General features: G+C 52.2%; 1 protein-coding gene and 1 long non-coding RNA gene across 8 annotated transcripts, besides 2 other annotated features; one reads left to right on the forward strand and one right to left on the reverse strand.

Moving 5' to 3' along the window:
* Nucleotides 5982-6061: an enhancer, noted in NCBI's record as "active region_16". NCBI's record gives its function as "activates an Ori minimal core promoter by ATAC-STARR-seq in GM12878 lymphoblastoid cells {active_cell/tissue: GM12878}" and the evidence as "EXISTENCE:reporter gene assay evidence [ECO:0000049][PMID:35858748]".
* ANKRD65 (ankyrin repeat domain 65) lies at nt 6153-9009 on the reverse strand. 7 transcript variants are annotated; one of them, NM_001145210.3, is made up of 4 exons: nt 8866-9009; nt 8530-8738; nt 7785-8325; nt 6153-7282 (listed from the first exon to the last, which is right to left on the reverse strand). In NM_001145210.3, the coding sequence occupies exons 2-4, from the start codon at nt 8736-8738 to the stop codon at nt 6833-6835; spliced, it is 1200 nt and encodes a 399-aa protein (NP_001138682.1). In that variant the 5' UTR covers nt 8866-9009; the 3' UTR covers nt 6153-6832. The 7 variants fall into 7 exon arrangements, with proteins under 7 accessions (NP_001138682.1, XP_005244809.1, XP_006710710.1 ...); XM_005244752.5 differs by having other exon boundaries at nt 8833-9009; XM_006710647.4 differs by having other exon boundaries at nt 8530-8757; nt 8833-9009.
* Nucleotides 6229-6678: an enhancer, noted in NCBI's record as "active region_17". NCBI's record gives its function as "activates an Ori minimal core promoter by ATAC-STARR-seq in GM12878 lymphoblastoid cells {active_cell/tissue: GM12878}" and the evidence as "EXISTENCE:reporter gene assay evidence [ECO:0000049][PMID:35858748]".
* ANKRD65-AS1 (ANKRD65 antisense RNA 1) lies at nt 7899-11020 on the forward strand. The gene is made up of 2 exons (NR_187360.1): nt 7899-8297; nt 10202-11020. It is a non-coding gene; the product is annotated as an ANKRD65 antisense RNA 1 (long non-coding RNA).
* The last annotated feature ends 1046 nt before the right edge of the window (nt 11021-12066 follow it).

The following is a 12066-nucleotide window of genomic DNA, read 5'->3' on the forward strand; positions in this document are numbered from 1 at the left end:
GCAGACAAAATCTCTCAAGACACCGAGTTGTAGAAGGAAGGGCTTTATTCAGCTGGGAGCATCAGCAAACTACTGCCTTAAAATCTGAGCTCCCCGAGTGCACGATTTCTGTCCCTTTTAAGGGCTCACAACACTAAACATTTCACATGAAAGGGTCGTGATTGATTTGAGCAAGCAGGCGGTACGTGACAGGCTGCATGCACTGGCAGTCAGAGAGAAACAACACGGCAGGGAGTTTCACAAATGTTCTTCTATACAATGTCTGGAATCTATGAATAACATCTGTTTCTAAGTTATGAGTTGATTTTTCACTACTGAGTTTAGGCCAGGCAGGCGCAGGCCTGGTTTCGGGCCTAGCGCCGGGCTGCCTGTCCTTGGTTTTACCTCCTTGTTGTTTTTTCTTAAAATAGGTACTGAGTATAAAACAATATGAGACGGTCTCTCTCTTCCCTCATTCCCCCCTTTGAGACTCTCACTTTTTATTAGTGGGAGTTCTCACTCATTTTTGCTACTTATGTCTTTTTGTGCAATAGATTGATAGTGATTTATATAGTATGCTTGTGCTGAAGCATTTTGGTGAACTAAGGTAGTGATGAAGTTTTTTATCATTTGGAGAAATACAGGTATCAGACAAGGGAGCAGTAAGCAGGTTCCTATTACTATTGTTACTCTTGTTATAAGAGTTTTAAATCCTCCTATTGCTGGGAACTAATTTCTAAACATGGCTCCTGGATTGAGTCCATGCCACACGTGCACGGGTACGTGTGCCAGTTTTGTTATATCTTTAACTATATTCTCAGCTACTTGCCCCTGATCATCTATGTGTAGACAACGATTAGTAAGGCTAAATTTTTCACAAACTCCTCCTTCAGCTGCTAGCAAGTAGTCAAGAGCTGGTCTATTTTGAGAGCTAGCATTTCTCATCAAAGTCTCTTGCCGGGCAAGAACAGTCAAGGCTTGACCAGGTTTATAGTAATAATTTCTAAAACAGCTTGTAACCGTATGATTCGGTTGAGCACGTAGATGGGGGTTCGATATCCCCATGAGCCATCTTCTGCCCAAGTGGCGGGTCCGTAGTATTGTATGATTTTTTCAGGGGGCCATTCATCATCTTTCCAATCACTTATGGCTATGCTTCGTTTTTCGCGGGAAGCATAGACTGGGAAGCCCAGACGTTCACCTGTTTTTATGGGCAGTAAGAAGAAAGATGGCTTCATGGTGCCAATTACACAGCTACCTGTCCATTGATCAGGCAGCTTAGCATAAGCTCTGGGTCCACATATCCAGTATAACCCGGTGGGGGCCGTCCAGTCCCGGTGGAGTTCTGGGTAGGCCCAAACAGTCTGCAACTTTGGAAATTTACTGAATGGATTTCTTTCTGTGTAATTGGAACTCCACCATGTAACTGTTTTTGTGGTACCGTTATACAGCTTTTGCCCAAGACAACCAAGCCGCCCTACAGGATGAGTGAATCCTTTTCCTTCTCAAGCTATGCAATACTGTCCAATAATTGAGACTTTTAGAACTCAAAAATTGTCAGGGTGGTTCTTTTGGGCTGGGAATTCATCAGGAACTGGGTCTGTAGGAACTAATTCTCGGGCTTCCCATGGCCGCTGATCTCCTGTTACGGTTCCTCCGCAAACACAGCTAGAGGTGACTTGTAGAGACTGGGCTCCATGTTCGGCTAATTGCAAAAACAAAGTTTTAGTTTTTGCTGGAATCTCAGGTACTGACACATTTAGTTCATCATAGAAAGTCTGCAATATGGTTGTGGAGAGCGTTATTGAACCTCTCCTTCTATTAGGATGCTTACGCTAGGATCTAAGCCTTTTCTGTCAATGCCTAATGTTAACACTTTTTTTTATTCCACTTTGGGTCTGAAGGGTTTGTGATTATCAATTCTAAAAGGTTGTAGCTCCCACTCGTGCAGGAGGGGCTGACTTTTCCTTTTTGGAGCCAAACAGGATCTTTTTTATCTTCTTTCCAAGTAGCCCAAATGACACAAGACCAGTATTGACACATCTCACATAAATGTGATTCTTGACAGATATACTTATTTTTTTTTTACTGTGTAACTTTTTTTCCAATTTAGAGAACTGCATCCTATTCCATGCTGCTAACTATTAATAGCGGCACCAGCCTCAAATTTTAAGGTTACATTTTTGGGGACCCCTCTTTCTTCTGTTCTAGCTATTAACTTACTTGTGTCACCTAGAAAAGGACCAGTCCTGTGATCATGGGAGGCTTAAAATGGGTCATAACACGCATCAGTTTGGTTATTTCCTGGGCTGCATACCTTGGATAGAATAGCATCATACAAACAAGTTTCTTTTAGAATCCTGGTACACTTACAATAACCATAAAATAATAGGACTGTAGCAATCTTTTGTCTTACCTCAGTGACTTGATGTATATACTGGAAACAGTTCTCAGTCTGAGGAAGGTCAGTTGAAGTCCTTACTGTACAAGTCCAAATTTTAAGGAAAATGAGTCCCGCGATGAGTTTCCTCATGCTTCGGCTGTACGTGGACCAGTCAGCTTCCGGGTGTGACTGGAGCAGGGCTTGTCGTCTTCTTCAGAGTCACTTTGCAGGGGTTGGCGAAGCTGCTCCCGTCCACGTACAGCTCGAGTCTACTGATGTTTAAAGATGGTCTCGGTGGTTGGGCCCCCTAGAATAAACTGAGTCCAACACTTCTACACAGTTAAGTTTCACTGAGCTCTCTGATACTGGGAGCAAGGTGGCAGGGTTTAGGGTTTTGCAAACTTCAGTGGTTATGTGGGGATTTTCACAGAGCAAGCTTTGGTATCTAGTTAGTCTAGAATTCATTAGCTAATGATGTCCTTTGGTATTTATTAAAGTCACCACAGCATGGGGGGACTTTAGGTTTTGCCTAAGAGTTAGCTTATCTGCTTCTTGTGCTAACAGGGCCGTTGCTGCCAGGGCCCTTGGACAGGGGGGCAGCCTTTGGAAACCCCGTCTAGTTGTTTTGAGAGATAGGCCACTGGCCTTGGCCAGGGCTCTACGGTCTGGGTTAAAACTCCAACTGCTATTTTTTCTCTTTCTGACACATAGAGTGTAAAGAGTTTTGTCAGGTCAGGTAGCCTCGGGGCTGGGGCTGACATGAGTTTTTCTTTTTGACTCATGAAAAGCTCGTTGCTGTTGGTTGGAATGGATGTAGTTTATCTAATCTACATTTTTATTGACTGTCATCTACCAAAATATTGACTTAAATCCTGTAACTATTTGATTTCAAGCTTTAAATTGATCTGGTGTCCCTTGTGGGGCTCCAATTGCGTCTAAATAGATGTGAGAGTTGAAAGACCCATAAGGGGCTTCTCTCGCTTTACGATGTCTTTTTTTTTTTTTCTCCTCTGGTTGATGAAATGCCAGGGTGAAAGGGATAGCCAAACGGACTAAAGCACAAGTGCCACTCTAGTTATTCGGCAGAGTGCCCAGTACAGGTCCACCACAATACCACCACACATCCGCTCACATCCGCTCAGGGATGAACAAGGGCTGACTGATTGATAAGCTCTCGAAAATTCTTAAGCTCACTGCATCCCTTCCAGTCTCCAAGGACTGCTAAGTCTCCTCCCTGCCGTGAGAGACACGAAGGGAACTTAGTTTTGGGAGACGGAAGCTGGATGGCCCTCGGGGGCTGACCCGCAGGGACTGCAGAATGTAGCGGGGAGAGCTTGGCATGACTTGCTGCTCCAGGCTGTAGAATCCTGGAAAAGAGCTACCGTGCAGCCCACGCCTGGTCGACTGAAGGACCACCTTAGTGGAAGGGGGACAATCAGAGCCTTTGGCCTGCCATGTGCACGAGCATCACAATTGCTTTTGTTTAACATCAGATGGAATATCTGATCCATTTCAACCAGGCATTTTGCATCTTGGTATGCTGTCTTAATTGCCAAAGTTTGTTTTAAGTCTTAAACTTCCATGATCCTCTAGTAAAATGAATGTTTCCTTTAGCACCTATTTTTATTAGTTTTTAGACCAAAGAAAGCTAAACACCATTTTATATTTAATAATGCTTCTTGTATGATTTTTATACCAGATAAGCTAAATTTTACCTTTATATTAGTGTGTTATTAATGTTAAACTTAATTTTAATAAAACCTTGTAGACATATTTATCCAATTTTTCATGTTTGACCATAAGGTAAGATTTTATAGACTCTTTTTAACCTTTTATAACTTTTGTTAAAGAGCAGGTTGATGCTTTAAGAAAAACCTGTTGCATTTTTACTTTAATGTCCAGTTCACAGAAAAACTGGACGATACCTTTTTAACTTTAGTTAACATGTTTACACACAGAATTTTCTTTACAATTTACATTTTAAAACTTGCTTAAACTCTTAAAAACAATAATTTTTTTAACCTTTTAATGTAGGTAAAAATCCATATTTTTATGCCCCTTTATAATTTTTTTTACCAAAGGTATATTTTACTTTTCTTGTACACCTTGCACATAAACTTTTTTTTTTAATAGTACTCAGGGGCCAGGCGCGGTGGCTCACGCCTGTAATCCCAGCACTTTGGGGGGCCGAGGCGGGCGGATCACGCGGTCAGGAGATCGAGACCATCTTGGCTAACACGGTGAAACCCCGTCTCTACTAAAAATACAAAAAATTAGCCAGGCGTGGTGGCGGGCGCCTGTAGTCCCAGCTACTCGGGAGGCTGAGGCAGGAGAATGGCGTGAACCCGGGAGGCGGAGCTTGCAGTGAGCCGAGATCACGCCACTGCACTCCAGCCTGGGCAACAGAGTGAGACTCCGTCTCAAAAAAAAAAAAAAAAAAAATAGTACTCAGGAGGCCTTATTACTTTTAAATTATACAACATTTTTTGCATAAATTTTTTATAACATTTTGTTTTACAACTTTCGCCGACAATTCTTCAACATATCTCAACTTTCTGCCTTATTACAAACTTTTAAACAACCAGTTAATATATTTCAGGACAAGAATTTACCGTATAACATGCTTTTCACATAAATTCAGCCTCCCCTTTTTTTTTCTTTTTTAAAGCGAACTTTTTTTATGTCTTTGGACTAGACTGTCTGAGGCCACAAGATTAAAAGTTACCATTAACATGTTACACTGTTAACTTTTAGCAAACTTCGCTTTTGTTGAAAACCTTGGAAGTTTGGGATTTCAATTATCCTTTGCTATTAATAAGACCTTGTTTAGTCTAAATTAACTTAGAATTGGTATAGATGGCCTCTTTTTCTCTCTGCTGGTCTTTCCTTGCCTCTGCCAGCCGCTTATGCTGCTGTTCTCTTAACTACCGTAGGGGGGAGGGGGTCTAAAACCTGCTCTAACTGTCCATGTACGGAAACTGGCCTGGGTGCCTTGGCTTACACGTTACCTTGTGTCATACCTTTGAAACAAGGGACCTGTCCAGGCTTCCTTCTGATGGCCAACCCACCTCTAATGCTGACAAGTCTATTTCACACAAAGTTGTAAGTTTTCCTGGTGTCAGAGTAACACCGTAATCTCCCTTAAATTCTTTCTTGAAAAATTTTTTTTAACATAGTTCCTAGTGGGGTGGGCTTATCTGTGCCTGACCCACGCTTCTTCAAGACAAAACACCACGCTCACACCACAAAACAAAAAACAGGTAAAAAGGGCACACACACACTTTTGCAGTTTACACCAAACCAAAATCAAAACCAAAATCAGAGTATCCAGAAATCCAAGCCAGGTCAAAACCAAAACCAAAGTATCACATGATCTCAGTCAAGTCAAAACCAGAACAAAGGTGCTAATGCAGGCACGCCGTGGGCGATCAGGCCACGCGTCTACTCAGGTGGAGTGGGGCAAGTTCCAAAGACTAGTCTTACCAGGTTTCAGATGTCCGGACTCCAAGTGCCAGTTCCTTCCCGGTGTTCAGCCACTGTGTTAATCCACCATGGGGGCCCGTTATGGGCTGCTCTGGCGAGGTGTTCCACCGAGGCAATTTCCTACCCGGGAGCGCTCTTTAGCTCACGTCACTCAGGCTGGCCGGAGTCCCCCGCAGGGATGCTCCACGGGGCAGGCCTAAGCCGCCTAAGGGGCTGCCTCGGTCGTCTGTCAGTTACCTCGTTTCCCAGTCAGGGAACCAAGAAATGTAGCAGGACGAGCCGCAGACAAAACCTCTCAGACACCCAGTTGTAGAAGGAAGGGCTTTATTCAGCTGGGAGCATCGGCAAGCTACTGCCTTAAAATCCGAGCTCCCCAAGTGCACAATTTCTGTCCCTTTTAAGGGCTCACAACACCGAAGATTTCACATGAAAGGGTCGTCATTGATTTGAGCAAGCAGGCGGTACGTGACAGGGGCTGCATGCACCGGCGGTCAGAGAGAAACAGAACACGGCAGGGAGTTTCACAAATGTTCTTCTATACAATGTCTGGAATCTATGAATAACATCGGTTTCTAAGTTATGAATTGATTTTCAACTACTGGGTTTAGGCCAGGCAGGCGCAGGCCTGGTTTCGGGCCTAGCGCCAGGCTGCCTGCCTGTCTTTGGTTTTACTTCCTTGTTGTTTTTTCTTAAAACAGGTACTGAGTATAAAACACTATGAGAGGGTCTCTCTTCCCTCATTGCCACAACTCATTCTTTGTTGAAGTATGGAGAAGGCTGGAGCTGCAGGGTCAGTGGGCCCTCCTGGGAGCTGGGGGCCATCCCTGGTCCAGCCAAGGCCTGTGACTGCAGCTCAAGCCACATCCCCTACTTTCTCCCATCCCCTCCTCCGGAAGCCTCTTCCCTGATGTCCCCTCCAGGCAGGCAGCCTCAGCCAGAGAGCCTGGAAATCACTGGGGCGGTGGAGCCTGGAGCCTGCTGTCTGGCTCAGCCCGTGGACTCTATGCCCTCACACTCCTTCTCCCCCCCTCCAAGTTCAGGCAGCGCCTGGGGCAGGTCCCCCTCAGGCATCTGGGCCACCTCGGCCCACTGCGTCCGCAGAGTGGGGCTGGCCCCTCGGCTCAGCAGAAGCCCCACGGTAGGCCCATGCCCTCGCTCTGCAGCCAGGTGTAGGGGGGTCTTTCGGAGCCAGCCGGTAGCATCCACCTGGGCACCCCTGTCCAGCAGGCAGCCGGCAACCTCCACGTGGCCTTCCCGAGAGGCGTGATGCAGGGGTGTGAGGCCCAGGGTGTCCCGCGCATCCACCTCGGCCCCCTGGGTGACCAGCAACTGGACGGCAAGCAGGTGTCCTCGGGCGGCAGCCCTGTGCAGCGCAGAGCGGCCATGCCTGTCCCTGATGCCTGGGTCTGCCCCGTGGCCCAGCAGCACCTCAATGTCCTAGAAGAGGAGAGAAAAGCAGGGGCCGGCCTCAGCCCGGTAGGCGAGGGGCAGAGCCACCAGGCGTTTGCCCAGCCCAGGCCTCTTCTGTCCCCGCAGCGGCCTGTCTCTCCTGACACCACTTCCTCATGTTGTGAGGCCGAACCCAAGGCTGGCCTGCTTGGAAACGTCCACTTTTCCCCCTAAGAGTCCTTAGAGCAAATCCAAGGATCTGCAGCCAACACCCTGCCCGCTGCCCAGGAACGGGGGTCTCAGGCACAGGCCCGGCGCTGGCGGAGAGTCTGTTGCTGCCACCAGCATGAAGCCGAGCCCCGGGCCTCGGATCCCGCCCTGGTCTCCACGGGACGGGGCTACACCGGAGGGGCACAGCCGGGGGCGCGCTCAGGGCCTTCGTGCCTGGACACCGTCCCCCAGCCTGGCTCCAGCTGCCCCGGTGGCACGTCTCTGGGGATCCTGGCCCTGCGCCCCCTCCCATCACTGCCGGGCGGAGGGCGGGACGTACCTGGGAGCGGCCTAGGGCGGCCGCCAGACCCAGCGCTGTGGCCCCCGCGCCATCCCGGGCGTCCACCCGCGCCCCGCGCGCCAGGAGGAAGCGCAGCGCCGCCCCGCGCCCCGCAGCGGCAGCCACGAGCAGGGCGCCGTCCAGGCCCGCGCCGCCGGCCGCCAGCAGCTCCAGCACCGCCAGCCGCCCGCCCGCGGCCGCCCAGTGCGCCGCCGTCCAGCCGCGCGCGTCCTCCGCCTCCGCTGCCGCGGGTCCCGGGCCCGGAGCCTCCAGCAGGCGCGCGGCCAGCAGCGTGTGGCCCAGGGCAGCGGCCCAGTGCAGCGGCGTGAGGCCCGTCCCGGAGCGAGCCGCCGCCGAGGCCCCGCGCTGCAGCAGCAGCTCGGCCACCCGCGAGTGTCCGTGCCAGGCGGCCTCGTGCAGCGCGGTGCGCCCCGCCCGGTCCACCGCGCCCACCGGGGCCCCTCGCTGCAGCAGGAGACGCACCAGGGGCGCGTGGCCCCGCAGCACGGCCAGGTGGAGCGGGGTCCGGCCTGCGTGGTCCCTGAGGAGGGGGCAAGGGCGTCGGCGCGGGGGTGGACCACTGACCAGAACCCCGCCCTGCCCCACCCCGTCCTGCCGCCCACCCAGCGCTGGGACCCCCGTCCTACCCCATCCAGAGAAGGGACTCCTCCACCCACCCAGTGCTGGGACCCCCATCCTGCCCCACCCAGAGAAGGGACCCCTTCACCCCCCAGCGCAGGTGCACCTCTCCTCCACGCTGGCACCTTGCCGCAGCAGCTGCGTCACCAGGCCTGCAGGGCCCCTCCACACGGCCTGGAGCAGGTGCCCCCAGCCCTGGACAACACTAGGCCCCTCTGTCCTGGTTCCCAGGGCCTCTTCGGAGTCCAGCTCCATCCACCGCAGTTCCTGTTCCTCCTCCTCCTCCTCTCTGGGCTCAGGCCTCTGGGAGTCCATCTGGGGGGGAGCAGGGATCCTACATCCACTGTGGAGGCCTCTGGCCTGCCCCCAGCCGTGTCCCAGGCCAACTGGAGCCCCCCATTCCAGTTACCACTTAGCCTTCAGAGGGGCTTGGCTCTGTTACCCAAGGGAGCTGGCTCAGGAGCTTTCTGCTCTGGCTGAGGGTCCTCTGTAGACGGGTTCTGGCCGAGGCTCAGCCTGGTGACCCTCTTCACAAAATCCCTTCTGCAGGCTTTGGGGTGGAGTGTCTGCTGCTGAAAAGCTGAATGGTGGCAGCTTCAGCCTTGCAGGGGGTGGGAGAACACAGCTGGTCCCCTGGGCCAGGCTGAGGCCACCTGACGCTGTTTACTCAGCCACTTAGGAAGGCCCTGCCTTCGGGCACAGCCCCCTGTCCAACATACTCCCTCCCCTGCTGGCTGCCAGGGCCCCAGTTCGGCTGCCCTCCTGGGGAACAAAGGCCAGGCGGTTGGGGAGGACAAGCAGGAACATGCTTGTGGACGAAAGTTGCTCAGACGCCACCTCCCCCAGGAAGCGCAGCCTTGGATGTACCCCGATGTGCCCCTGGAAGGCCTCACAGGGCTCTCCATGGGGCCCACCCTCGGGCAGCCCCCTCACCCACTCCTGTCCCAGCTGGCTAAGCCCACCCAGGGGTGGGTGCCGGCCCCTCCTCCCGATTCCAGGCTGGGGAGGAGGGCAGGGTGAGGTTCTGGCCTTCCTTTCTGTAAATGCTGGACAGGACAAAAGATTCACCAAGGACTCCAGGCAGGTGGCCTGGAAAAGAGGGTGGCGCTGGCATGGGAGGGACGAAAACCCTTTGGGGACTGGCTGGGGCAAGTCTGGAGCCAGGGAAGGGACAGATGCCTGGGCAGGTGGGGGCGGGGGTCGGGGGGCAGGCGGGAGAGTGGGGAGAATCCCTGCTAGGGTGCGTCTGCATCTGGAAAAGCAGCTCTGCCCCAGCAAGGCCTGGGGCAGCGGGATCCTGGGGGCCTGGGGCAGGATGGGTGGGGCTGGTGCTGAGGGCATCTTCCTGTCTCCCAGTACCTGGGGCCAGGCAGGAGAAGGGAGCATGGCTCTTTGGGGTGGCTGCAGCAGCCTGGCCCCTCCAGCGGCTGCACGGGAAAGGTAATGAGGGCTACCCATTCCCACCCCAGCCCCCTTCAGCCTCCCAGGTCCCCAAGGACAGGGTCTCCTGAGGGCCCTGGTCTGGCCTCCCCCACTCCCTAGAGGACTGCCTCTCCAAGGGCCCAAGGGACCAGGGGCCCCATCCCACCACCCCCCAAGCCACACAGACCCTGCCCTACAAACCTCATCAGGCTACTCATCCGTCACCTTCCCAGATCCTGACCACAGGTGGATCTGAGGCAACGTGCGACTCTAACCCTGTTTTAGTTTGTTCTTAGCATTTATCACTACAGGAAAGTATCTATGTGTTTATTTAAATGTCTGCCTTCCTCTTCTAGAAGGAAAGCTCCGTAAGGCTGACCGGGAAAGAAGCGAGGAGCTCTGGGGGCTGGGTGGAAAGTCCCGTACTCATCAGGGCCAGGGAGGCCACAGAAACTACCTCACGCCAGCTTCCCAGGGGTACAGCGGCTAGAATGGACCTCGAGGAGGCCCCTCCCAAGACTCCCGTCTCCCGGGTTCCACCGCAGTGGGGGCAGCCACAGCTGCCTCTGCAATGCTTGTAGGACCCACACACAGTGGGGCACGGAGGGGCAGAGGCCGCAGCCCCTTTGCCATGAATCCAAAGAACCTGGAGTGATTCTGCAGAGACGTTCGAACCAGAGCGACTCCATCTTGAACAGGGGCTGGGTAAAATGAGGCCGAGACCGGCTGGGCCGCATTCCCTGGAGGTCAGGCATTCTTAGTCACAGGATGAGATCAGCACAAGATACAGATCACAAAGACCCCGCTGATAAAACAGGATGCCGTGAAGAAGCCGGCCCCAAACCACCAAAACCAAGACAGCCAGTCCTCACTGCTCATTATGTGCTGATTATAATACATTAGCATGAGACACGCCCACCAGCACCAGGACCATTTACAGTTGCCATGGCAATGCCGGGAAGTTACCCTAGATGGTCTAAAAGGGGGAAGAACCCTCACTTCCGGGAATTGCCTGCCCCTTTCCCGGAAAAGTCCGGAATAATCCACACCATGTTTAGTACATATCAAGAAACAACAATAAGTGTTCTCGTCGGAGTAGCCCAGGCCGCTGCTCAGCCTATGGGGCAGCCCTTCTCTTATTCCTTTACTTTCCTATTAAACTTGCTTTCAGTTTACTCCGTGGACTCCCCCGAATTCTTCCTTGTGTGGGGTCCAAGAACCCTCTCTCGGGGTCTGGATCGGGACCTCCTTTTCCGATGACAGTCCCTGGGACTTAGTAGCAGTTCAGCAGTGTTTGTTGAATGAATAAGCGAGAGACCTGGTTGGGGGGCACTTAGAAAGCAGAGGTTTTGCAACTTTTTAAAACTTTTTATTTGTATTTTTGAGACGGAGTCTCACTCTGTCACTCAGGCTGGAGTGCAGTGGTGTGATCTCAGCTCACTTGGAACCACCATCTGCCAGTTTCAAGTGATTCTCCTGCCTCAGCCTCCCAAGTAGCTGGGATTATAGGCACCCACCGCCATGACCGGCTAATTTTTGTATTTTTAGTAAAGACAGGGTTTCACCATGTTGGCCAGGCTGGTCTCCTGACCTCAAGTGATCCGCCTTCCACAGGTTCCCAAAATGCTGGGATTACAGGCGCCCACCACCATGCCTGGCTAACTTTTTTTTTTTTTTTTTTTTTTTTGAGATGGATTCTCGCTCTGTTGCCCAGGCTGGAGTGCAATGGTTTGATCTCGGCTCACTGCAACCTCCTCCTCCCGGGTTCAAACAATTCTCCTGTCTCAGCTTCCCGAGTAGCAGGTACTACAGGCACGTGTCAACAGGCCCAGCTAAGTTTTGTATTTTTTTTTTTTTTAAGACAGGAGGTTTCACCATACTGGTCAGGCTGGTCTCGAACTCCTGACATCAGGTGATACACCCGCCTCAGCCTCCCAAAGTGCGGGATTACAGGCATGAGACACCGTGCCCGGCCTGATTTTTGTATTTGTAGCAGAGACGGGGTTTCACCAAATTGGCCAGGCTGGTCTCAAGCTCCTGACCTCAAGTGATCCACCCGCCTCAGCCTCCCAAAATGCTGGGATTACAGGTGTGAGCCACCGTGCCCAGCGCTGTAGGGACACTGCAGGGAGGCCTCTGCTGCCCTGCTAGATGTCACACGCCACATGGTACCACTCTCCTTCTTGTTCACAAGTCTGAAGGAAGTAGGTGAGCTGGAGAG

This window comes from Homo sapiens, chromosome 1 (assembly GCF_000001405.40).
Source record: "Homo sapiens chromosome 1, GRCh38.p14 Primary Assembly".
In the NCBI taxonomy this organism is placed as follows: domain Eukaryota; kingdom Metazoa; phylum Chordata; class Mammalia; order Primates; family Hominidae; genus Homo; species Homo sapiens.